A 25,994-nucleotide genomic window follows, 5' to 3' on the forward strand; every position below is an offset into this window, starting at 1 on the left:
TTATCTTGGATTTTTTATGTAAACCACGCAGCATGTTCCTTAAAATTTATGTATTTAGAATTCATATTCTAATTAGGCAATGCAATCAACTCTAAAATTAAAAGTACATTTAAAACATGCACCCTAACACTTTCCTTCTCACTCTTGTCCCCGTTTTCACTCAGTTTCTGACCGTTCACCTCTCGTAGGTAACCACCATTATTAATTTTCCGATTTTTCCAGGGCTTCTTTGTGCCACACACGCACACATAATTTAGATTCTTTTTACTCTCTTCTATTCGCAAATATAGCAAATTATGAAAATAATTCTGCACCTTGCCTTTCTCCCTTAGTTATAGCTGGAAAAATAAAAATTTAAAAGCCTCTTTAATAGCAAAAGGGGAGGGGACACAAGGTGCCGAGCTAGCAAACGACAGAGTCTGTCAGGGAGGTGGCTAGAGAGGCCCGGAAGTGGCTTCTGTGCCCCGCCCTGCGGGTGGTTTGCTAGTTTCAAGCACTTTGTGAGTATGGGGTGAATCGGCGTCGGCCTTCCACTGTGGGGTTAAATCTCATCCCGCGGCTCTCCTCCTGTCGGTCCTGCAGTTCTTTTGTCCCCGGGTAGAGGTGCGTTTGCAGGAGTATGTGTGTGTGTGTGTGTGTGTGTGTGTTTGTGGAGAGAGGCCCTTCCCTCCCCAGTTCCTGCAGCCTCGGCTCCCAAGGAGGGAGACCCCTGCGAGAAGCCGTGGGGGAGGGAAGGGCGCTCTGCGGCGGAATGAAGTGGTCCTCGGCGTTCCTGCGTAGAGCCCAATATGGGTGTCCCTTGTTTAGGGCCGTTACCGAGTGTCCGGGTCGGTTCTTGAGGGTATTTGGAGACGGGATGCATGGGTCACATAGACAAGCCTCGAGAATGGGAGCCGTTACATTTTTGCACTGCCTGGTAACAAGGTCAGTTTCAAGGTCTTTAAATTATTCTGTGGTACTGGCCAAGAGCCAGAACGTTGGAGTCAGATTACCTGGTTCAAATCCTGCCTCTGCCACTTACTGGCTGTGTGACTTTTCACTAGTTCCTAAGCTCTCTCTCTGCCTCATTTTACTATTTTGTAAAATGGGGATAATATTCCCTAACTCACTGGGTTGTTGTGAGGATTGAATGCATTCGTATGGGTAAGGTGCAGAGTAAGCATGATTTAAAGATTTGCTTTTATTAGTGGTACTATTATTATTTATAACTATGATGACACATTAGTGACTGGCTTTTGTACGGTTGCTTTCAATTTTACTGTCATTCATCAATTCACTTTGTAATGGATGATTTCTATATTTTAGGAGGGAAAAATAAGATACTCTGAAAAAGAGCCTATCCCAAAGCAAAGACCAAAACTGGTTTGTGTTGGACGTTGTGATACTCAAACTCTCAAAGGCTTTAAGACTCGGGGGTACCTTTTCCTTGGCTGGAGATTAGGAGGAACAATAGAAGTTTTTAATAGTGAAAAAGGACTAGGACCCCTGGTTTTTGCAAAAATCTGATGTCCTGCTTAGTGCTGGAGATCCACCAGTTTTCGAGCTTCCAGGAACGCCCTAGCCTGAAACTGGCTTCATACTAACACCCTTCATTTCAACCCAACTTTTACAGGGTTAGCTCTTTCATAGACTTGTAACTCTTTTCTGTTAATGAGAAACTTTCCTTTCCTTATCTTCAGTATATTTACTGATTTGATAAATACTTTGTGTTGGCAACCAATTTCCCAATCTTGTGCCTTCCCACTGTGATCAGTTTGGCTCAGATCCAAGTAGGGGCCAGGTAGTGAAACCTAAATGGAGTTTGTGGAATAAATGATATAAATGTATCAGTGTTGTTTTCCTGCCATAGACTTCCTCCCTTCCCCACCGTGGACACCCTCCTCATTCCACTTGGGCTCCAGATTCACTCTGGGTTGGGCTGTGGCTCTCTCTCGCCTTCCTTGACCCTACCTTAATGCTTTTTGGCTGTATTATTCAGGAAGGAAAGAAGTTAGGACATTGTTTAATTTTCTAAAATTTTGGAGAGAAATTTAAACACATTTAATTGTAGAGAGAATGTTACAATGAACACCAATATAACCATGACTCAGCTTCAGCCATCATCTTTTGGTCATTTTCTTTCATTCTTCTTTTCCCTCCTTTCCACTCTCTTTCCTTCCCTTCTCCTCCTCCTTCCCTTTTGTCTCCCTCCTTCCCTTTTACTTCCTCCCTCTTTCCCTCTCTCCTTTCTTTCCCTCTCCCTCCTTTCTTTGTCTTCCTTTCCTTCCCTCCCTCTCCCCCTCTTTATCTCTTTTTTTTCCTCATTTCGTCCCTCTCTTCTCTTTCATTTTATAGCAAATTGCAGATGGAAACATTTTAGTTCACTCACAAGTACAAGTACTTCAGTGTCAATTTCTTATATACAGGGACTTTTATCTTAATATAATCATAGTATCATGATCACACGCAAAAAAATTGACAATAATTCCTTGATATCATTATCTTGATTTTCAAATAATTGTCTCAAATATTTCTAGAGTTTTTTTTTTTTACAGTCTTTTTACAGTTGTTGTTTTCAGTGGGGTCCGAATATGGTTCACCATTTGCATTTATTTGATAAGTCTGTTCAGTCTTCTAATCTATGACAGTTCCCATTCCCTCCCACTCCTTTTGGTAAAAATGCCATTTATTTGTTGAGGAACTTGAACCTTCTGTTTTATAAAATGCCTCACATTCTGGATTTGGTCGATTGCTTCTTTTTAGTATCTTTAACTTATTAGATCTCAAACTCAGCTGCACATCAGAATGACCTAGAAAGTTTTAAAAGTTATTGATGTATTAAAAGTCCCACCCCCAGAGAGTGATTTAATTGATTTTTTTTTCATTGCAATCTCCATCTCCCAGGCTCAAGTGATTCTCATGCAACAGCCTCCCAAGTAGCTGGGATTACAGGTGTGTACCACCACACCCAGCTAATTTTTGTATTTTCAGTAGAGACAGGGTTTCGTCATATGGGCCAGGCTGTTCTTGAACTCCTGACCCCAGGAAATCTGCCTCAGCCTCCCAAAGTGCTGGGATTACAGGTGTGAGCCACTGCACCCAGGCTGATTGATCTTGATTGTACCCAAGGCATTAGGATGTTTTAAAAGCTCCCCAGTGATTCTAATATGTAACAAAGTTTGAAAGCCTTTAATGTAATTTGCTCCTATATTTCACCTGTACACTGGTATTTGGATCTAAAGACTAGATTAGATTTAGGCTCACTTATTTTGGTATTATTAGCTCATGTAGGAGTACCCCAGATCTCTTGTGGCAGCTTATTAGGAGGAAGTATTTTCTGGTACTTTTGATTTGTGACAATCAATGGCTTCTCTCAGTTTCCTAATTTCCTTCTATTCCCTACCATCCTTTGAACTGTAGAGAGTTGGACTGAGGAATAGAGGTTCAGGAAGACACGGACTTGGAATTGTTTTTCCCTTTGTAACCTCTACCAGCCTTACATTTCTTTTCTTTTCTTTTTCTTTTTTTTTTTTTTTTTGAGGCAGAGTCTTGCTCTGTTGCCAGGCTGGAGTGCAGGTGCAGTGGTGCGATCTTGGCTCATTGCAACCTCCGCCTTCCGGGTTCAAGCGATTCTCCTGCCTCAGCCTCCCAAGTAGCTGAGACTATAGGCGCATGCCATCACGCCCAGCTAATTTTTGTATTTTTAGTAGAGACGGGGTTTCACCATGTTGGCCAGGATGGTCTCGATCTCTTGACCTCATGATGTGCCCACCTCAGCCTCCCAAAGTGTTGGGATTACAGGCGTGAGCCACTGCGCCCAGCCCAGCCTTACATTTTCTAGCCTCTCCATTCCACTGAGTAAAGAGGGACTTACTGACATCCGAGTCCAGTCAAATAATTTTGCAGTCACTCACTTCTAGTTTAAAATCTAGTCCCAGCTGGTTCACAGGAATCTCAGGTTTCCCTTCCCTCTTAGATCAGGCCCAGGTCTCATGGCTTCTGGGATAGGCTCTCTTTCAGAATATCTTACTTTTCCCTCCTAAAATACAGAAATCATCCATTACAAAGTGATGACTCTGACGAAACCTGATGGCTGGTGCTGTTGTTTCTAGATAATACCATACTGAGGAAGGAGTAGATTAGGAAGCAAGAAAATCACTTTGATTTGGGGCATATTGAATTGGATTTGTTTGCAAGATTTCCATATAGGACCGTCTGGGAGGCAGCTCAGGATAGGGATCAGGAGTCTACAGCCTAGAAATAGAAGTTAAAACCTTGCGAGTGATTAAAGATAGTTCTGGGGAAGACTGTGGATAGAGAAAAGAAAAGGTCAAGAACAGAACCACCAGGCCTACTCTTATTTAAAAAAAGAAAGACCAGTGAATTATACTATTAGCCAACATGTATATGGTACTTACCACTGTCATGCCAAGTGTCAGGTTCCAGCCCATACTGAGGTCCGAGGGGAGTTGTTGGATGGGTGGCAGGTAGTTGAAAGAACACTCGGGGCTGTAGGCAGGTAAAATATGATTTTATTCAGCAGCAGCTGCTGCAGCTCTCACACTGTCTGCCTCTGTCTCGGCTGCCTCCTCCGACCGCAGCCCTTCTCAGCAAACGGCTCTGTGGCTCCTGCCGCTCCCACACTTACAGCTGTACTCCTTGGCATGCTTGTTAATTCCTGGCTCACCTCTGTCTGTCTGCAAGATGGCCAGTTCTCTCTTACAGGGTCAGCAGTTTTTCTCTCTCTCTCTGGGCACAAGTCCTATGTACAGTGTCAGCAGGGCAATTATACCATTTACAGACAATAGTGGCTGTAAGCCAAGTATGAGCTTACACAAACAGGTTATATAACAAGTGGAGTGGTGCGCCTGCGTTCCAAACTCGCTGAGTCACGCTGGCCTGCATATCTGCCTCGGCCTATTCTTGACCAAAGCACATCCATTTACCTTACACTCCACCCCCTTGGCCGAGGGAGACATAGGTTTTTGGGTACACAGGCCCAATATATAGGTTTGGCACACAGGCCTGACATATAAACTTTGGGCACCCAGGGCTGATACACACAGGCTTGACACATAAGTCTGACACATAGGCTCTGGGCACACAGGCCCAATGTATACATAGAGGCTTGACACATAAGCCTGACACATAAGCTCTGGGCACTTGGGCCACAGTAATACAGGGAGCAATAATTTCAGGTTATAGTGAGCAATCACTACATGGTGATGTTACCCCAATGTTGCTTTATATATTAATCCAGGGTTTTTGCTTCCCTACCTTTAGGGTGTTGGGGCGGGCAACAACAGGTTACTGTTTGTCCCCATACCTGGTTGGAGGAAGTCATCCTTTCTCTCATAGATCTGGCCACATGGCCTGGCCCTACATGGGTCGGTGACTAGCCACTTCTGTAACTTCTAGGTAGTTAGCCACAAGGTTAAGCCTTGATAAACTGCCCAGCTATCAGTGCAGATTACGTGTCACCTTCTTGGTGATCACCATTTACATTGCCCTGAGTTCAGTTTATTAGCTACTTTGTCCACACCTGGTATCAAACCATAGGGTGTTGGTACTAGGCTGGGCTGCAACAGCAGTCCAGGTAGCAGTAGCACCCTGGCTAGACCTATCTGTGTACCATGCCCCATTGGGAATGCGGGAATGCCCTTCCTTAAAAGGTGAAGGCTCAGGATCTAGGGGTGCCTCAGGTCCCATAACCTTATCTTGCATTAGGACTGTAGGTCCTAAGACTTCCTGTAATTGTGCTTCTAAGGGACTTGAGTTAGCATACTTTGCTGTTCCAAGTAGGCTTAAGCACCCCACTTTACAAAAGTGGATGTCTGTGCCATCCCAGTGTGTGGGTTGTTACCCATGAGCATACCCACCCTGCTATTGGGTAAGTCATGCGCGCGACGACTGTAGCCCATCCTGCCAGGCTGTCACGAGTCTAAAGGGCAGCATATGCAGTTAGTAACTGCTTCTCTGTCGAGGAATACTGGAGCTCAGCTCCCTTCCAAAGTTGGGACCAAAAGTCTACTGGCATTCTAAAGAGCTCTGTGTGATGCCATAAGCCCCAGTCAAAACTATCTGGTCACATGCACATCAAGTTTAAATGGGTGCCCCGATCAGCTACCCATAGGGCTTGTGCCTGCTGAATAGCCTGTTTGGCTGCCAGGAAGGTGGTTTCAGCCGCATCATCCCAATTCCAGGCAAGAGGCTGCGTTGCTGCTTCTAAATCTGCAAGAGAATCAGAGGTTAATATAACATCATTAATAAGATCATGACATATGTTGGGGCTATGCATATATCCCTGCAGCAATACTGTGAAAGTCCATTGTCACCCTCCCACGAAGGCAAAGTGTTCCTGGCTCTCTGGAGCAATGTCGATTAAGAGGAATGCATTGGCCAAGTCCACCACACAGTGGCACCATCCCAGTTCTGTTGTCAAGTGGCCTATCAAATCCATGATAGACGGCACAGCTGCCAAGCCGTGCAAAACATCCACCCACAGCCTGTCCTCAGGCATGGGAGAGACATCCACAGTGCATAAGCAGGGAGCTAAGCGGCCGATGCCGAGGTCCAAAGATACAGGTTTCACTTTCACTGACCAGCTTTCATAACCGTCAATAAATGCAGCTCTGCCCGGAAACTTATTCAGGTTTAGGGACCAGTGGCTTGCCGAGTCCACATATTGCCTTTGGTTGTCCGGTGTCCCCCCAAGCCTGGCACCTGGGTCAGTTCCCAATCAAACAGGAAAGACTTTACATTTCTGCCTGACTGCAGCAGGTAATCTTTGAGCTGGAACGCTCCGGCGGGACCTAGTTGCCCAGCAATGTCCTTTTCCCGAATGACTTGCACTAAGTCTATATACAACTGCCATCTACTGACAGTTTCTGGTATTTCACCGGCATCAGACCACACTGTAATTAAAGAAGCCAGCTTTTCCATCTCAGAGGGGGAGCAGGAAATGGATCAGCTCCTTTGTCCCGGAGAGACAGAATTCAGGCAGGGAGTCTCCCCCAAATGCTGCTGGCACTGCTTGCCTAACTCCCACAACTCAGTGGGGGGTACAAGCACTATAAGAAGTGTGCTTCACTATGGTAGGGGGTCTCTAGGCCCACCCTTGGGGCCCAGTGGCTGTTCATGCTCTATTTTCTGGCAGACCACTGGGTGAGCCTGTAATGGAGGTTCGTCCTCCTCCCTGCACTGCGTCCAGCAGGGACTGGGCATGCCCTTCCAGCAGCACAGTCACAAATGCCCATCTGACTCTGTTGGCAAAGGCACACTCCTTCTCGGTCCTGTGCATTTCCAGGTGCTTCAGCACCTTCTCCACACTCGTGGAGGGCCTGTCCACTGCCGCCCATGTTTCCACCAGAGCCCATCCTTGCAGCACGGCTGCCACTGGGTGCCACAGCTCATGCTGTGGCTGCATAGCCGCTCCGGGAGCCTGGGGGCTGAAGACCCACTCACCTCATCTTGCTCACTATGCCAAATGTCAGGTTAGAGCCCCAGCTGAGGTCCAAGGGGAGTGGGTGGATGGGGGGCAGGGAGCTGGAAGAACACTCGAGAGACAGCAGGTAGATGGGACATGGCTTTACTCAGCAGCTCTTTCACAGTGTCAGTGCCACATTTATACACCTCACAAACAGTAGTATCTTAGAGCCAGGTGATGAGCCTCCCCAGATTATGGCTACATAACTGTGATTATATAATGCACGGAATTGTGTGCGTGCGCTCCAATCCTGCTGAGTCATGCAGGATGTTTACCTCGGCCTATGCCTGCTTCGCTGCAGCACAGCCATGTTCCTTACAACCACACACCAGGCACTGTTCTAAGAGTTTTATACACTCACTTACTTAATGCTTACAATGGCCCTATCTGCTATCACTATCCCTATTACAGATAAGGAGAGGGAGGCACAGAGCTAGTAGGTAGTAAAGCCAGGATTTTGACGACCTCAGGAAACCTGGCTTCAGAACACTTAACCAGATTATGATGGGAGCTGAGAAGAACCAGGAAGGAGGAAAGCAGGAGAAAGCAAGATCCTTGAAGTAAGGACAAGTGAGTTTTTGGAAGTGGACAGTATCCTCAGCCCAGTTGCCTGAGAAGAGGCCATGGAAAATGGGAATTGAGGGAAGCACCTTTGGTTCCTTCTGCATGCGAAATCTTAGTGGTCTTGGCAGTTGCAGCCTACAGTGTGTGGAAGGCTTAGTGGGAGGTGAGGACTAGAATCAGGGACTAAGGACTTTCTTTCAAGAAGTTCAGTCTTGAAGGGGAAGAAAGAAAGTGGCAGATTGAGGAGGTGGCAAAGACCAGGGGCAGCCTATGCTCTCTCCAGGGGAAGGGCTTGGTGATGTTTTCGGCTGCCTTGATGTTTCTGAGAGAAACTGAAGGGCCTTCAGCCCAAAGATCCGAAGAGCCTGCAGAAATCCTTCTTTCAGCTGAATTTTAATGTGAATGTTATGCCAGTTTTTTGGGCAAGCCTCACTTCAGATATAATTGAGGGTCTCACTAGCAGGCAGCCAAGGTTTAATTCAGTTCTATTTCTTTTGGTCCAGGGCCTTCTGTCTTTTCTTTCTTCTTCCCCTTACTACAGTACCTTGACCACAGATAAGACCTGGTACAGCCATCCTTCACTATCTGTGGGGGATTCATTCCGGGATCCCCAATGATACCAAAATTTGTGGATGCTCAAGTCTTACATAAAATGGCATATAGTATTTTCCTATAACCTACACACATCCTCCTGTATGTTTTTTTTAAGAGATGGAGTCTCTGCACTGTTGCCTAGGCTGGAGTACAGAGGCACAATCATAGCTTACTGCATCCTTGAACTCCTGGGCTCAGGTGATCCTCCTGCCTCTTCCTCCTGAGTAGCTGGGACTGCAGTAGTGCGGCACCAGGCTCAACTTCTCTTGTACACTTTAAATCATCTCTAGATTACTTATAAACCAAATACAATGTAAATGTTTTGTAAACACTTTTTATATTGTATTTTTATTTGTATTTTTTAATTGTTGTTTTTGTTATTTTTTTTTCCCAGATATTTTCCAGCTGTGGTTGGTTGAATCTCTCAATGCAGAACCCACAGATATAGAATCAACTGTATTAGTTTTCTATTGCTGTATAACATTTACCTCAAATTTATCAGCTTAAAACAAAATCTGGGCTGCGCGCAGTGGCTCATGTGTTTAATCCCAGCACTTTGGGAGGCCGAGGCAGATCTTTTGAGGTCAGGAGTTCGAGATCAGCCTGGCCAACATGGTGAAACCCCAGCTCTACTAAAAATACAAAAATTAGCTGGGCATGGTGGTGCACACCTATAATCCCAGCTTCTTGGGAGGCTGAGGCAGAAGAATCTTTTGAACATGGGAGGTGGAGGTTGCAGCAAGCCGAGATCATGCCACTGCACTCCAGTCTGGGTGACAGGGCAAGACTCTGTCTCAAAACAAACAAATAAGAAAAAAAAAAAAAAAAAAAAAAAAATCAGCTTATTTGTTCCAGTTCTATAGGTCAGAAGGCCAGGCAGGCTCAGCTGAGTTCAATATTAGGGTCTTCCCAGGCCAAAGCCAAGGTGTTGGTAGGGCTGGGCTATTATCTGGAGGCTCTGAGAGGAATCTACTTATGAGGTCATTGAGGTTGTCAGTAGAATTCAGCTCTTTGGGATCAGTCCAGTCAGTCTGGACTTGCTATCTCATATTGAAAGTCCTGAGGATTAGGGCAGGAAATCATTAGGGTCATCTTAGAATTTAGACAACCACAGACCTGGTTGGTAATGGGATAACTCTGAGCAAGTCACTGAGAGGAGCTTCCTAGAGAGTCCAGGAAGTGCCCTGGATCCTCACCAATTTCAGTTTTTTTCCTGATTAGTCAGGGGCTTGGGGGTGTCCAGGATCACTCCAGGACATCCTTTGGGAACCTTACTATGGGATTCAGGTTTGGGGTGGTGTAGAGGATTAAGCTGCAGAACCACTGAACATGGAGAAATTTCTGCAGCAGTTCCCCAGAGATGTCTCTGGGCTCCTGGGCAGGAGAGAAGGGACTACTTGCAAGTTTACTGGTTAATAATGATTTCCCACCTTTCAGGGATCTTCTGCAGAAATAGCGCTGGAAGCTAGAGTGAGGCCTGAGTACTGCCTTGGCCTAGGATGGCTAGAGAATTAAGTGAAAGCACAGCCCTGGATGCCCAGTCTACAGAAGACCAGATGGAGCTTCTGGTCATAAAGGTGGAGGAAGAAGAAGCCGGTTTTCCCAGTAGCCCAGATCTGGGTTCTGAGGGCTCCCGCGAGCGCTTCCGAGGCTTCCGCTACCCGGAGGCTGCAGGCCCCCGCGAGGCGCTGAGTCGGCTCCGAGAGCTCTGCCGACAGTGGCTGCAGCCTGAGATGCACAGCAAGGAGCAGATCCTGGAGCTGCTGGTGCTGGAGCAGTTCCTGACCATCCTGCCGGGGAATCTGCAGAGCTGGGTGCGGGAGCAGCATCCAGAGAGCGGGGAGGAGGTGGTGGTGCTATTGGAGTATTTGGAGAGGCAGCTGGATGAGCCGGCGCCGCAGGTAGAAAGAACAGGTTTAGTATCTGAGCGCTGTGGCCTGTTTCCTCCTGAAATCCCAGATCAGAGTGAGGGGCATTCCTTTAACATCCAGGAGTTCTTCATCTCTTTTTTGTACCGTGAACCTCCTTGGCAGTAAGGTGAAGTCCCTGGACTCCTTCTCAGAATAATTTTTTTTTTAAAATACATAAACCATAAAGGATTACAAAAGAACGCAGTCATATCAACATACAGTTTGCAAAGTATTAACTTTGTATTAAAGTCATACTTTTTTTTATTAGTACACTAAATAATAAAACCTACGGACAGGGCTTATAACTGGCAATTACAAAGCAGTGATAAGTATCTCTTTGCTTGGTTGTAATGTGATGTAAAAACATCTGCAGGTTCTATTGGTGACAAAGTCGTGGGTACTGCTTATGCTACATTGATTTGTTGCTTCCATTCATAATTGGAAGGAAATGCTAACTTTCTCTTAAAGACTAGTTAAAAATAAGATTAGCTTTTGTCCTGTTCAAGTTCATGGACTACGTGGGAAGGAGTTCATGGACCACTGGTTATGAACCTCTGGTAGAAAATGGGCCGACTTTTACCTCCATGTTCTTCCCTGTTTTATGAGACTGTGTCCTCTTTGCATCATCCTGTGTCCCTGTGCACACACCCTCAGAGGACCTGTGTGGCCAGAGCCTTCTAAATGGTGAGCTGGATACCAGGGTTCTTGACTTGGGTCTGTTGCACCCAAGGCCTGTAACAGTGGAAAGTCAGTGCGAGTCTCTTAGCTTCATTCTTTATAAAGGATGTGGGAAATTCTGAGCTGCACATGAGAAAGTAACTTGAAAACTGTAATTTTATAATAACTATAAATGTCTGGAAGGAAACCTGCATACATATCGTATGCCAGGCCATGTTAGGTGATTTCACGTACTGTGATGTTGTTTGGGTCCCCCAAACTCCATAAACTAGAGATTGTAATCCCCTTTTCAGATAATAAAAGGTATTAATATTCTCTGAGAATTTTGCACCAGTTTCCAATGGATTTTCATAAAAGCACAAATGTATATATGAAGGAGCATAGAGTAATGATAAGAACGTGTGCTCTGGCATCATTCTACCTGAGCTCCCATCCTAGCATTGCCACTGATTAGCTATTTAAACTGGCTGTGCCTTAATTTCCCTATCAGTAAAATGGGTATAATAATAATACCTCCCTTATAAGATTGTTGTTTTCTGCGTTAAATGAGTTAACATTTATAATGCTCTTGGAAATAGTGCCAGCCACCTAGGTAGTTCTATGGAAGTGTTTGATGAAAACATGAAAATAAGAACAAATGATTTCTAGGTTTCAGGTGTTGACCAGGGGCAAGAACTGCTCTGTTGCAAGATGGCACTATTGACACCAGCCCCAGGGTCACAAAGTAGCCAATTTCAGCTAATGAAGGCTCTGCTCAAGCATGAATCTGTGGGATCCCAGCCTTTACAAGATAGAGGTAAGGATTATTTTCTAGACAGTATGAATTCTGCAGACTTCATCCAATTTCATTTAAGGATAGCCAACAAAATTCATTGATAGGGGGCTTATGTGCCCATCACAGATCAACTCTCATTTAAGACTGAGACTAAAAGGAGTATTTCCAACATAATGATGGAAAGCTTTTTCAACCAAGACTGGACATAGTAAATAAGATATTAGTAAAACTTAGGTTTGGAAAGAATTGGTTCTTGCTTGGGTTTTGTTTTGTTGTATTGGTTTTTTTTTTTCTTGTATTGGTTTTTGTTTTCTTGAGACAGGGTCTTGTTGTTTCACCCAGGCTGGAGTGCAGTGGCACTCCACTTCCTGGGCTCAAGCAGCCTCCACTTCCTGGGCTCAAGCGATCCTCTGGATCGCTCACTGCAGCCTCCACTTCCTGGGCTCAAGCGATCCTCTCAACTCAGCCTCCTGAGTAGCTGGGACTACAGGTGTGCACCACCACGCCTGGCTAGGTTTTAAAAACTTTTTTGTGGATTTGAGGTCTCACCATGTTTCCCAGGCTGGTCTCAAACTCTTGGGCTCAAGTGATCCTCCTGCCTGGGCCTCCCAAGGTGCTGGGATTATAGGTGTAAGCTACCACACTTGTGTATACCAGCTACTTGTCTTTGTTCTTCTTTAACTTGTAATTATGGAGGCCTCCAGTGTGGTGGCCAGTTAGCTCTGGGAATGGAACTGTGAGTGAAACTGTTCTTGTCCCAGTGGAGCTTACATTTAAGTGAGGAAGATGGTAAATAAACACATTAATAATACAATTCGTATGACAGTGGGAAGTCTTATGCAGAAAGTAAACAGAATCTGTAAAGCCAGCCAGCCAATCTCATAAATTATAGGACTATTGCAAATTAAAGGGTATAAATCTTCTAAATCCTGGGTCTGTTATTAAAACAATATGAAATTCACTGCATAGGAAATGGCTGTATGTGTTCTGAGATGTCCTTTCATGTGTCTTAAACACATGTACAAGTTCCCAAGATATACATCACTGGGATGTTCTAGCCAACATGCGATCTTTATTTTTAAACAGAGGTTCTAGCCTAAACCACCTGTTTTGTGCCCCTTTAAAAATTTGCTTCCTGAAGTTATATAAGGAATACATGAGGAATATATATGCTTCCTGAAGTTATATAAGGAATATATAAGGAATATATGAGGAATATATATATGCTTCCTGAAGTTATATAAGGAATAATAAGGAAACCTGAAGCTCTTTACTTTTCTCTCTCTTGAATTTCCATACGTTGTATAAAGCCAGACCCTTACTTTGCCTTTCATAGCCCAGCTTTGTCTGACTCCTTTTAGCTTTTCAAATCCAAAGCAAAAAGCACCCTAACGGCTACTAAGGACATACTCACCCAAAATCCGATTTTTCCTCCTATCTCTAGCAAAATTCAAAGGATCTTCAGATGGAAAGCTTTTTTGTTTTTTATGTTCTTTTTATTTCACAACTGCTCACAAGGATCCTGCCTTTTTGCATTGTTTTCGTGTATCTGCAGAGCACAACAGTTATCTTTAGCCATAGGATTGGAGCTGGTAGGGACCAGGAATTTTGGAAAGGAGCACACTCTGTATAAACTTGTTTGGCAGGAATTTATTTATTTAGAGAGACAGGGTCTTACTTTGTTGCCCAGGCTGGAGTGCAGTGGCTCAATCACAGCTCATTGCAGCTTCAGACTCCTGGGCTCAATCAAGTGAGACAGGAATCTATTAATCCAGTTATTTAACTTAGATTGCACAGGGCAGGGAGGCTGAATGCCAGGGTACATCTCATCCAGAGCTTCTTTCCTTCTTAGTTCTCCAGGTCCCCGTGCTTGCCCATGGAGGATGCTGCAGAGAAGATAAAGTGGTAGCTTCTAGGCTTACTCCAGAGTCCCAGGTGAGCTGGAGCCCTATCCCTCCCCCAATGCCCCTCACTACTATTGAGCTTCCTGTGAAGACTCCTCACTCCCCATTCCCCTCCACCCCAATCCTAGATCCTCCATACAGATCTCAAATGGGATCTGCATTTTCTCATCTATCTCGAGGTTGTTTATCATTAACTTTATTTAGGTGCCCACTTAAGAGGCTTTTCCTGTTTATTACTAGCTGTTGGCAGGAATGGGGCCTGGGGGTGCTTCCCAGATCTTCCCCACTCCACCATTTTGGTCAGCCCCTTCTTCAATGGGATTACCTATTGTTTTAGGGGTTGTTGAAAGTGGAAGATGTGGCCCTGACCCTCACCCCTGAATGGACACAGCAGGATTCATCTCAGGGGAATCTCTGTAGAGATGAAAAGCAGGAGAACCATGGCAGCCTGGTCTCCCTGGGTAAGACTAAAGGACACTAATTTCTGTTAAGGTTTCTTGGCATTCTTTGTATATTAGAACCTGTTGAGCTATTGGAAGCTGTTGAGCCCTGTTATGTTTGGATTCACAATCACCATTTCTGAAAGCCTGTAACTGACTAGCTCCTTACCCTTTCTTTTTTTGTTGTTTTTGAGAGATAGGGTCTTGCTCAGTCACTCAGGATAGAGTGCAGTGACACAATCATGGCTCACTGCAGCCTCAATGTTTTGGGCTAAAGTGATCCTCTCACCACAGCCTCCCAAACTGCTGGGACTAAAGGCATGTACCACCACACTTGGCTAATTTTTTAATTTTAATTTTTTGTCGAGATAGAGTTTTGCTATGTTGCCTAGGCTGGTCTCGGACTCCAGGGCTCAAGCAATCTTCCTGCCTTGTCCCCTCAAAATGCTGGAATTACAGGCATGAGCATGAGCTACTCCACCTGGCCTGCTTATCCCTTCTGACCTTGCTTTCTCCTCTCCGTGCCAGTATTCTAGTTAAGTTAAATGGGTTGAAGTCGATACAACCCCGAGTACAGGTCTGGCTCACAGGAGATGCCCACTAAATGTTGATGTCCTCCTGTTCCTATCCCTGACCGAAGAGGAAAGCTGGGAGGCCTCTTCAGGAAATGGGCCTTGGGACCATAGAGTGTGAGAGAAGTGTCCTTAGACATTGACTATAGACCCTGACCTCAGAGATGAAGGTGCAGAGGCTGAGAAGATTGCCTGATTGTCTGAGGCCACGTAGCTAATTGGTGGCATAAAATTCACAGCACTGAATCCAGTTCTGTTTGGGGACCCTGCCTCTGCCTGGGATATGAACCGAGACAACTGTCTTTATCGTATCATTGATCAGTGCCCAATTTCTGAGTCTCCACTTTCGCTGTTTCGTTTATTTATTTCTTTTGTTTTTGAGATGGAGTCTCACTCTGTCGCCCAGGCTGGAGTGCAGTGGTGCAGTCTTGGCTCACTGCATCCTCTACCTCTCATGTTCAAGTGATTCTCCTGCCTCAGCCTCCTGAGTAGCTGGGATTATAGGCACCCACCACCATGCCCGGCTAATTTTTGTATTTTTAATAGAGATGGGGTTTCACCATGTTGGCCAGGCTGGTTTTGAACTCCTGACCTCAAGTGATCTGCCAGCCTGAGCCTCCCAGTCGCTGTTTCTCAAAGGTATTTCAGAAATCCTTCCACATGCTCCATTTACTGTCACTTTCTGTTCAACCGTTTTAGTATCTAATCCTAGGTGCATGGCCCTGCCTTACAATTCTTAGAACTTAGAACGACCACATACATCCCCAGCATAGTCCTGGATCCAACCACATACATCCCCAGCATAGTCCTGGATCCTCACCGTCTTCTACCCACTCCCTCCACTCCCAGTGTGTACCTTTCCAATGGCCCCATTCCCATTCTTAGGTCTCTCTCCTCCCCAGCACTCCTGTTCTCCCCTTTTATTCCCATCCTTATTCTAGCACTTAAATCCTCATCCCAGGCATTTATAGACCTCTGTAATTCTTGCCTCCCTGGTACTCATCACAGAGCTTTCCTTCCATGGCATAAGCCACAGTTGCCAGTTATTTGTTGTTTCAGGTGATGAAAAACAGACTAAGAGCAGGGACTTGCCTCCAGCTGAGGAGCTTCCAGAAAAGGAGCATGGGAAGATATCGTGCCACCTGAGAGAAGACATTGCCCAGATTCCTACATGTGCAGAAGCTGGTGAACAGGAGGGCAGGCTACAAAGAAAGCAGAAAAATGCCACAGGAGGGAGGCGGCACATCTGCCATGAATGTGGAAAGAGTTTTGCTCAAAGCTCAGGCCTGAGTAAACACAGGAGAATCCACACTGGTGAGAAACCCTACGAATGTGAAGAGTGTGGCAAAGCCTTCATTGGGAGCTCTGCCCTTGTCATTCATCAGAGAGTCCACACTGGTGAGAAGCCATATGAGTGTGAAGAATGTGGTAAGGCCTTCAGTCATAGCTCAGACCTTATCAAGCATCAGAGAACCCACACTGGGGAGAAGCCCTATGAGTGTGATGACTGTGGGAAGACCTTCAGCCAGAGCTGCAGCCTCCTTGAACATCACAGAATCCACACTGGGGAGAAGCCGTATCAGTGCAGTATGTGTGGCAAAGCCTTTAGGCGAAGTTCACATCTCCTGAGACATCAGAGGATCCATACTGGGGATAAAAATGTTCAGGAACCTGAGCAGGGAGAGGCCTGGAAAAGTAGGATGGAAAGCCAGTTGGAAAATGTTGAAACTCCCATGTCTTATAAATGTAATGAGTGTGAAAGAAGTTTCACTCAGAATACAGGCCTCATTGAACATCAAAAAATCCACACTGGTGAGAAACCCTATCAGTGTAATGCGTGTGGAAAAGGCTTCACCCGAATTTCATACCTTGTTCAACATCAGAGAAGCCATGTAGGGAAAAACATCCTATCACAGTGACCCATGCCATACATGCCAGAGTTGGTGCTCATTTGTCACTGATCTGAAGCCACTCCCCCTGGAGTCTCAACTATAGAAATTGTGGGCTGGGCTTTATTTACCACTACACATTATCAGGTGTTAGAAAATGTAGACTGGGTTAGACAAATTATCTTCTAAGTTCTAGAAGGGGTTTGTAATCAAAACATATTTGATAGGAGGCTACGGGAGAGTTGTCTAGAAGAGGTAAGACCTGAAACTGTTTGTTCTCTCCCACTAGAATTAAATGGATGTTTAGACTGGCTACTTGCCCTAAACCAGCACTTGGTGATGTCTACTGGGTGGATGGTTGTGATTTGGGGGCTGCTTCTCTGACCATTCTTTTTGACTGTAATGAATCCTCCACAGTTGGTCAGATTCATAAAGTCTTATATCCCCCTCTGTGCCTTTTCTGCAGGTGCTAATAAATGTTTATTGAATGTACCAGTGAGATTACCTTCATAGATCTGAAAATCTGATGTTATCCAGGTTTCTGAAGAACTTCTCGCCAAGGCCATTTGTGCTTGTGTCCAATTCTCTGACCTAGATTGTGACTCAATCTAGTGTGTTTCTTACCAAGTACATAGGCAGAGCAGGGTTACTGTGATTGAAAGAATCCATTTTTTTTTTGGAGACGTAGTCTTGCTCTGTCGCCCAGGCTGGAGTGCAGTGGCACAATCTTGGCTCACTGCAACCTCCACCTCCTGGGTTCAAGCGATTCTCCTGCCTCAGCCTCCTGAGTAGCTGGGATTACAGGTGTGTGCCACCATGCCCGGCTAATTTTTTATGTTTTTAGTAGAGACGGGATTTTACCGTGTTAGCCAGGATGGTCTCGATCTCCTAACCTCATGATCCTCCTGCCTCAGCCTACCAAAGTGCTGGGATTACAGGCATGAGCCACCATGCCCGGCCAAGAATCCATATTTCTTTACCAGACTAGGAATTCTATTCTAGTGCAAATGCCTTAAAAAGCTTATCACTAAATCATTACGAATGTGTGCCATCCGTGGAATTGCTTTTTTTTTTTTTTTTTTGTAAATATGAGGTCTCACTATGTTGCCCAGGCTGGTCTCGAAATCCTGGGCAATCCTCCTGCCTCACCCTCTCAAGTACTGGAATTACAGGCGTGAGCCACCATACCCAGCCCAAATTTCACTCTTTAATGTTTTCCTGTTGCTATTCTTTAAGGAAAAAACTTTCCTATTCAGACAGTGTGAAAATCAGTCATCAAGTCAGAATAAAATGATGAATATTCTAATGCTCAGTATCTTAGTTCTCTCGGGCCTAACCAATGCCTCCTAAAACAATAGATACTATCCTGCCCCACCCTACCACCCAACACACACTGTATAGTAAACTGCATCAAAACTTATTCCTGCTAAGTTCATACTTTCTCCAGCTCAATGGATTCACACCAAATTTTTTTTTTTTTTTTTAGACGGAGTCTTCTCTGTCACCCAGGCTGGAGTGCAGTGGCGCGATCTCGGCTCACTGCAAGCTCCGCCTCCCAGGTTCCTGCCATTCTCCTGCCTCAGCCTCCCGAGTAGCTGGGACTATAGGCGTCCGCCTCCACGCCGGGCTATTTTTTTTTTTTATTTTATACTTTAAGTTCTAGGGTACATGTGCACAACGTGCAGGTTTGTTACATATGTATACATGTGCCATGTTGGTGTGCTGCACCCATTAACTCGTCATTTACATTGGGTGTATCTCCTAATGCTTTCCCTCCCCCCACCCCACAACAGGCCCCAGTGTGTGATGTTCCCCTTCCTGTGTCCAAGTGTTCTCCTTATTCAATTCCCACCTATGAGTGAGAATATGCCGTGTTTGATTTTTTGTTCTTGGCGATAGTTTGCTGAGAATGATGAGACGAGGTTTCACTGTGTTAGCCAGGATGCTCTCGATCTCCTGACCTCGTGATCCACCTGTCTCGGCCTCCCAAAATGCTGGGATTACAGGCGTGAGCCACCGCGCCCGGCCCAAGTATCACTTATGGTTTCAGAACGCCATTATTAGTGTCTGACTGTCTTGGTCTTCTTATACATTGATTCCCAAATCACGTGTGGTAACAGCATCTCAATTTTTCATGATGACGGTTTGAACCATTAATTTAATTCCTCAGGCTATCTACTTTTTTGTTAAACATACTGTGTAGACCATCTTTTTTTTTTCCCATCATGATAGTCAAAATTTTAGTCTGTGTATTCAAGTGAGAAAATTTTTAGTCAGCATTATACAAGTAGTATTTATTATGTATACATTCAGTGGAGTTGTTTCTACAAAAGTATTTCGGAATGACTATTCTGCTGCAAACTTTTGTGTAAGCGCTTCACCTTATTCCTACAATAAGGAGAAGTGCACTAACAAAATGAACAATGCAGCAAGGGCTTCAGTCGCAGCTCAGGTCTTATCAAACACCAGAGAACCCTCAATGGGAGAAGCCTTATGAGTGTGACAACTGTGGAAAGACAGTTCCTTTTTTGTTAGTATCACTTCTACTTATTGTAGAAATATGCTTTCATTATTGCATCTACTCACATTTCTCACTCGGTTTCTGGCACCAGCAATCTCTTCCATATTTATAATATCAGTCAAAAACTCTGGAATTCAAATATAACAAGACTTTTCTGGTCACCTTTGATAGTTAATGACTTGGGCATTGTGATATATTATCTCCTGCTGTATGTATTTTGTTTAGTAGAAATTGAATCATTATCCACAATCCTTTATAGAACTATCCAAGTCCCTGTTTTTATGCTAGTTTCCAAGGCTTGGTCCTTCAAGGTTTTCAGGGATCTAGGGGACACAAATCTAACAAATCCTAATGTATATTATTTGTATTATAGTAATAAACCATATGGTTACTTTGTTTGAGTGGATTCTTAAATTGAGAAAAATGCATTGCATGATTTCCAAACTTTCTGAACATATATTAGGATTCTCCAGAGAAATAGAACCAATAGGATCTGTGTCTAAATATGTATGTATATGTCTGTATGTGTATACATATATATTTGTATTTATAATACTGGTTTATGTATATTATACATAATATATATGTGTTTGTATATATATATTTATTTATTGGAAAGAATTGGTTCATATGATTATGGAGGCTGAGAAGTCCTAGGTTCTCCTATCTGCAAACTAGAGACCTAGCGGAGCCAGTGGTGTGAGCTCCAGTCCAAAGGCCAGCAGGTTCAAGACCCAGGAAGAGCCAGTGTTCTAGTTGGAGTCTGAAGGCCAGAAAAGACTGATGTCCCACCTCAAGATGGGCAGGAGGAGTACCCTTTGAGGGAGCGTTATCTTTTTTGTTTTCTTCCTGCCTTCAACTAATCAGATGGGGCCCACCCACATTAGGGAGGGTAATCTGCCTTACCTAGTCTACTGATGCAATGATTCATCACATCCAAAAATCAAACACTCAGAATAATGTTTGACTAAATATCTGGGCACCTTGTGGCCTGGTCAAGTTGACATATAAAACTGGCCATCACAATACTATAGTTTCAACATTAAAACTACAGTATAGTATTACAGTTTCGGTAAAGCATTAAAACCTTTAACCCGTGCTTCCCCCTTTTGTCAGTTCTTCCAATTGGCAGTAGGAGCCTGGGAAATAATGTTTGTAGCCTCCCTACCCTGCTTACAGATCAGGATAGGGAACGGCTGGTATGAGGCAGGCTGAGGGACAAGAGATAAACAACTAGATCACCATTGTATCCTCAGCATCTAGCAGAGTTCCTGATAAATGAATGATTCTGAAAATTGACTGGTTCTATTTGTTCTTTTGTATTATTAACATAACATAAAATCTCCTGACACTGAGTGCCAGAGACCAAAGTATTCATATTCATATTTCCAGACATAAAAGTCTTCCCTTATTTCTAAAGAAATTATGTGTTTATAGCCATTCATTCAGCAAACCTGATTGTGTTATGTCAGGTGCTAAGGAATCAAAGATGAACAAGACATTATCTCTGCCCCCAAAGAACCTAAGACCTAAACCATCTTCTGTCTTACAAGGTATTTTATCCATTTCTGTTCTCACTTTGGTGCCGACTTAATAGTTCTTCCTTCAGAGGAATGACTGCACCATGGCTGCCTGGCAACTTGCATCTCTTCATATGAGCCACATAGACCAGGATTTAACACCAGCTGATGTAAGCCCTATAACTCACCTAGAACATGAGTGCATGGTAGGTTGTGTGAGAAGCTGATACAATGCCATTTCTCACACACCTCCCTATCTACCATGGAGGCTGTCCTGAGACAGTTTCCTCTGATGAGGAATGAGGCTTTCTACCTCTCCCCATTTAAGGTATAACTGTAAGCTATAAACTGCTTATCTGCAGAACAACATCAGCTCCTCAGCAACGAAATGTTTCACCATATGTGTTGCAGTCACATGGCTTCTTCTGATGCCATCTTGTGAGAAAAAGACATAGAGAGCTGAACTGTTTTAATCCAGAAAGGGCTTATTTCTTTTCTGATCAAATACAGTCATGCACTGCATAATGACACTTCGCTCAATGATAATTTGGTCAATAACAGACCACATCTACAAAAGTGGCCCCATAAGTTTATAATGACAGGCTACGTATGGTGGTTCACGTTTGTAATCCCAGCACTTTGGGAGGCCAAGGTGGGAGGATTTCTGGAGGCCATGAGTTTGAGACCAGCCTGGGAAACAGCGAGACTCCATCTCTAACAAAAATAAAAGTTAGCTGGGTGTGGTGGCATGCACCTGTAGTCCTAGCTACTTAGGAGGCTGAGGTGGGAGAATTACTTGAGCCCAGGAATTCGAGGTTACAGTGAGCTATGATTGTGCCAGTGCACTCCAGCCTGGGTGGCAAAGCAAAACACTGTCACACAAAAAAGATTATAATATTTTTACTGTACCTTTTCTATGTTTAGATACACAAATACCATTGGGTTACAATTCAGTATGGTAACATGCTCTATGGGTTTGTAACCTAGGAGTAACAGCCTAAGTTTGTGTAAGTACACTCTACGATGTTCACACAATGACAAAATTGTCTAATGATGCATTTCTCAAAACATAACCTCTTTCATTAAGTGACACATGACTATATGCTAGCCTTTCCTTGACAAATTGGTGCCAAACATGGGGCTGGTGACATTACAATGCCCTTTCAGAAGAAAGATAGATGTGCTCCCACAGGACTGGATAGGACACATGATGAGACTTCCCAGGATCTAGTAGCACATGTTCTTGCCTAAGTGGTGGGCAAGAAGGAAGGAGTAAGAGTCTTCCCATTGTATTAATAGCTATACTGCATTGGCTAGATTATAGGATGTGAATAGACTCTCCAGGATCCAATATCATATGCCACTTCCTGATGAATGTTTAGAGGTTAAGTTACTTTAGGTAGGATTGAACCCAGTTGCCCAATGCCTTAGTTGTTATTAAAAGTTTGTTGCAGGCCAGGCATGGTAGCTCATGCCTGTAATCCCAACACTTTGGAAGGCCCAGACAGCAGTATGGCTTGAGCTAAGGAGTTTGAGACCAGCCTGGGCAACATAACGAGACCTTGTCTCTACAGAAAATTTCAAGAATTAAAAAAATTAGCTGGGCATAGTGGCACATGCCTGTGGTCTCAGCTACTCAGGAGGAGGCTGAGGTAGGAGGATCCCTTGAGCCCAGGAAGTCTAGGCTGCAGTGAGCCGAGCTGTGATGGTGACACTACATTCCAGCCTAGGCGATAGAGCGAGACCCTGTCTCAAAAAAAAAAAAAGTTTGTTATGACTGAGTGGATGATTTGCACTTAAAAATGAAAGTGCAAGTCTGTGCTTACCAGTGTGGAACAGGTCTTTTTGTGCTCCCTTGATTTCTCTCTGGCCTATATCGCAACCTCAGTTTTTTAAGGAAAGAAGATTCTCTGGTGCTCCAGCTAACTCTGCATGATGGACTCCTCCACATTACTTGGCACTCCGCGAGCTCCCGGCCAACAGACTACGTGCTCTCCTGATAGTTGCTATTGTAACCTTTTAAATGTCTGCACAAAACTTCTTTATCTGCTTTTTTTTTTTCTTTTAAGTGTCTACATTCAGCTGATAAGAGTTTGGGGAAAACTTGCAATGAAAAGAAAAAAGTTAAGCAACCTTGTGAGTGAGGGTGCCTGGAAGATGCTATTCACTGGGGCATAAATGGTCCAGTGAATGACACAAGTAGCTGCCCATTGTTGGACACTCTACAGCAAAATGTGTGTTCGTGATTTTTGCCCATACCTAGTTAAATTGTTTGCTGTTTAACTGTTGAGATTTGGTGAATTCTTTTTATATTCTAGTTATAAGTCCTCTGTCAAAGACTTGGCTTGCAAATATTTTTCCCTATCTGTAGCTTGTCTTTTCATCTTTTTTTTTTTTTTTTTTTTTTTTTTTTTTTGAGACACAGTCTCGCTTTGTCACCAGGCTGGAGTGCAGCGGCACGATCTCGGCTCACTGCAACCTCCGCCTCCCGGGTTCAAGCGATTCTCCTGCGTCAGCCTCCCAAGTAGCTGGGACTACAGGCGCATGCCACCATGCCCAGCTAATTTTTGTATTTTTAGTAGAGAAGGGGTTTCACCATGTTGGCCAGGCTGGTCTTGATCTCCTGACCTCGTGATCCACCGGCCTCAGCCTTCCAAAGTGTTGGGATTACAGGCATGAGCCACTGCGCCCGGCTGTCTTTTCATCTTTTTAACAGGGTCTTTCAGAGCATAAATTTTACATTTTGATAAATACAAAGTCATAAACATTTCATTTAATGAATTATGCTTTTGATGTCAGTTTTAAGAATCTTTGCCTAGCCCTAGGCTCTGATGCTTCTAAGAGGTCTCAAGTTTTAGGTATTATTTTAGCCCATGACCCATTTTGAGTTTGTTGTTGTTGTTGTTTGGTTTACGGATGTTCGGTGCTCTATTGCCATTGTCTGAAAAAGCTATCCTTCCTCCACTCAGTGGCTTCTGCACCTTTGTCAAGAATTAGGCGTTTTTGTTTGGATCTATTTCTAGGTTCTCCAGTCTGTTCCATTCAACTATATGTCTGTCCTTCTATAATATCCAACTCTCTTGATCACTGTAGGTTTATAGTATACCTTGACATCGGGTACAGTGATTCCTCTCACTTTATTCTTTTTCAAAATTTAGTTATTAGTCCTTTGCCTTTCCATGCACATTTTAGAATAAATTTATATCTACAAAAATTTTTGCTGAGATTTTGATAGGATTTGTGTCAAACCTAAACATAGGAAGAATCGATATCTTTACCATGTTGTATCTTCTAATCCACAAACATGATATGTCTCTCCATTTATTCAGATTTCTTTCTTCAGCATTTTATCAGCATACAGATCCTGTACGTTTGTTAGACTTCTACATTATTTTTGGAGTGATTACAAATGGCTTTGCATTTTAAATGTCAATGTCCAAATGTTCATTATTAGTACATAACAACAGGATTGTTATTTGCATGTTGATTTGTATCTTGCAACCTTGCTGAATTCATTTACTGGTTCTAGCTACATTTTGTATTAGCTTCAAAAATTGTAATAGATTATTTGGAATATTCTATGCACACAATTATATAATCTGCAAATAGGAGCAGGTTTTTTTGTTTCCAATTTGTATTTTGTTTTCTTTTGTGCGTGTACATGAAATCTACAAGCAATCTGTATGCTTTTAATCATTTTTTGCCTGTTGCTTTGGCTTGTATTTTCAGTGCTGTGTTGAATAAGAGTGGTGAGAGTGGACATTCTTGTCTTCATCCCAATGTTATGGTTAAAGCATAGTCTTTTGCTGTTAAGTATGAAGTTATCTGTAAATGTTTTGCAGATGTTCTTTATGAAGTGGGAAGTTTTTATTTCTAGTGGGCTGTAAGTTTCTGTCATGAATGGGTGTTGGATTTGTCAAATGCTTTTTCTGTGCCAATTGTATGGTTATACAATATTTCTGTTATATATATATGTTGATGTGATGAAATACACTGATTAAGTTTTAAATATTAAAACAAACTTTTGTACTGGAAAAAAAAATCCCCCTTAGTCATGGTGTATACTTCTTTTTATAAATACCTAGATTCAATTTGCTAATATTTTGTTGAGAACTTTTGCATCTAAGTTCATGAAGGATACTAGACTGTAGTTTTCTTTTTTGTGCTGCCGTTGTCTCCTTATGGTATCAGAGTAATTCTAACCTTATAAAATGAGTTGGAGCGTATACTTTCCATTTTCTGGAACAGGTTTTGTAAAATTGGTGCTAATTCTTCTTCACATGTTTGGTAGAATTCTCCAGTGAAGGCATCTGGGCCTGATGATTTGGAAACTTTTAGATTATGAATTCAATTTCTTTAATGATTATAAGACTACTCAAACTATCTGTTTCATCTTGGCCACCTGGACTTTTTGAAGAATTGGTTCATTTCTTCTAAGTTGTCAAAGTTATGAGTGCAAATTTTCAAATCTACCTTTATGATCCTTCAAACGAATGCAGGATCTGTAATAATATCCCTTTTCTCATTCTTGTTATTAGTGATTTGGCCTTTCTTTTTATCTTTGCCAGTCTTGCTAGAGGTTTACCTGTTTTATTGATTTAAAATTGTTTTATGTATTTGACACAATGTAATTTTACATATCTATGGAGTACAATTTGACATCTTGATAAATATCTATGTTGTATTATGATCCAATCAGTGTAGTGTATCCATCATTTTGTGCATTTATCACTTCTCTGTGGTAAGAATACTCAAAAGCCTCTCTTCCTGCTATTTTGTAATATATGGTATTTTATTGTTAACCACAGTCACCCTACTGTGCAATAATAGAACCCCAGAGTTTATTCTTCCTATCTAATCGTAACTTTGTACCTGTTGACCAACCTCTCTCCATCCTCCCCTCTCCAGTTTCTGGCAACCTGCTGTTCTGCTCTCTGCTTCTATGATATAAATTTTAACAGGTTTTCTTGCTTCAACTATTTTCTCTATTGTTATCCCGTTAATTTCATTGATTTCTGTTATCTTTGTTATTTCCTTCTTTCTGCTGCCTTAGGTTTGCTTTGCTCTTGATCTTTTAGTTTCTTGAGGTAGGAACTTAATTGATTTGAGACTATTCCTCTTTTCTAACACAAGCAGTCAGAGCTCTAACCTTCCCTCTCAGC

General features: G+C 43.3%; 2 protein-coding genes across 21 annotated transcripts in view, besides 4 other annotated features; one reads left to right on the plus strand and one right to left on the minus strand.

Annotated features, from left to right (window-relative positions):
* The window catches only part of ZSCAN31 (zinc finger and SCAN domain containing 31), a 31,535-nt gene extending 24,728 nt beyond the window's left edge, over window positions 1-6,807 (minus strand). For 7 of the 11 annotated variants that reach the window (XM_011514808.4, XM_047419257.1, XM_024446522.2 and 4 more), the window contains exon 1: window positions 4,398-4,488. Coding sequence is in view for 1 of the 11 variants with exons in the window: in XM_024446521.2 (XP_024302289.1) it covers window positions 4,398-4,430 (33 nt within the window). In the remaining 10 variants the exon portion in view is untranslated. Of the gene's footprint in view, window positions 1-3,893; window positions 4,019-4,397; window positions 4,489-4,666; window positions 4,741-5,858; window positions 6,211-6,581 lie in introns of those variants that run through there. The other 4 variants (XM_024446521.2, NM_145909.3, NM_001135215.1 and 1 more) reach the window with 3 other exon arrangements.
* ZKSCAN3 (zinc finger with KRAB and SCAN domains 3) lies at window positions 414-19,708 on the plus strand. 10 transcript variants are annotated; one of them, NM_001242894.2, is made up of 7 exons: window positions 483-603; window positions 808-924; window positions 10,061-10,524; window positions 11,860-12,007; window positions 13,839-13,921; window positions 14,228-14,351; window positions 15,962-19,708. In NM_001242894.2, the coding sequence occupies exons 3-7, from the start codon at window positions 10,123-10,125 to the stop codon at window positions 16,819-16,821; spliced, it is 1,617 nt and encodes a 538-aa protein (NP_001229823.1). In that variant the 5' UTR covers window positions 483-603; window positions 808-924; window positions 10,061-10,122; the 3' UTR covers window positions 16,822-19,708. The 10 variants fall into 10 exon arrangements, with proteins under 10 accessions (XP_006715278.1, XP_047275331.1, XP_047275332.1 ...); XM_006715215.3 differs by lacking the exon at window positions 808-924 and having other exon boundaries at window positions 414-500; XM_047419375.1 differs by lacking the exon at window positions 808-924 and having other exon boundaries at window positions 414-500; window positions 10,061-10,437.
* Window positions 418-777: an enhancer, noted in NCBI's record as "active region_24354". NCBI's record gives its function as "activates an Ori minimal core promoter by ATAC-STARR-seq in GM12878 lymphoblastoid cells {active_cell/tissue: GM12878}" and the evidence as "EXISTENCE:reporter gene assay evidence [ECO:0000049][PMID:35858748]".
* Window positions 4,624-5,123: an enhancer, noted in NCBI's record as "H3K4me1 hESC enhancer chr6:28321865-28322364 (GRCh37/hg19 assembly coordinates)". NCBI's record gives its function as "activates a minimal SCP1, AML or CMV promoter by ChIP-STARR-seq in primed H9 embryonic stem cells {active_cell/tissue: H9 hESC(primed)}" and the evidence as "EXISTENCE:reporter gene assay evidence [ECO:0000049][PMID:30033119]".
* Window positions 6,601-6,670: an enhancer, noted in NCBI's record as "active region_24355". NCBI's record gives its function as "activates an Ori minimal core promoter by ATAC-STARR-seq in GM12878 lymphoblastoid cells {active_cell/tissue: GM12878}" and the evidence as "EXISTENCE:reporter gene assay evidence [ECO:0000049][PMID:35858748]".
* Window positions 6,950-7,854: an enhancer, noted in NCBI's record as "H3K27ac-H3K4me1 hESC enhancer chr6:28324191-28325095 (GRCh37/hg19 assembly coordinates)". NCBI's record gives its function as "activates a minimal SCP1, AML or CMV promoter by ChIP-STARR-seq in primed H9 embryonic stem cells {active_cell/tissue: H9 hESC(primed)}" and the evidence as "EXISTENCE:reporter gene assay evidence [ECO:0000049][PMID:30033119]".
* Window positions 19,709-25,994: the final 6,286 nt, after the last annotated feature.

The sequence above is a fragment of the Homo sapiens genome, chromosome 6, assembly GCF_000001405.40.
Source record: "Homo sapiens chromosome 6, GRCh38.p14 Primary Assembly".
Classification (NCBI taxonomy): Eukaryota; Metazoa; Chordata; class Mammalia; order Primates; family Hominidae; genus Homo; species Homo sapiens.

What these genes read in the sequence shown, in the direction of transcription:
- ZKSCAN3 (XM_006715215.3), top strand. Translation starts at nt 10,123, where the DNA reads ATGGCTAGAGAATTAAGTGAAAGCACAGCCCTGGATGCCCAGTCTACA. An exon ending in TGGATGAGCCGGCGCCGCAG is followed by an intron (nt 10,525 to 11,859) that starts GTAGAAAGAACA and finishes AATGATTTCTAG; the next exon opens with GTTTCAGGTGTTGACCAGGG. An exon ending in CCAGCCTTTACAAGATAGAG is followed by an intron (nt 12,008 to 13,838) that starts GTAAGGATTATT and finishes TTTCCTTCTTAG; the next exon opens with TTCTCCAGGTCCCCGTGCTT.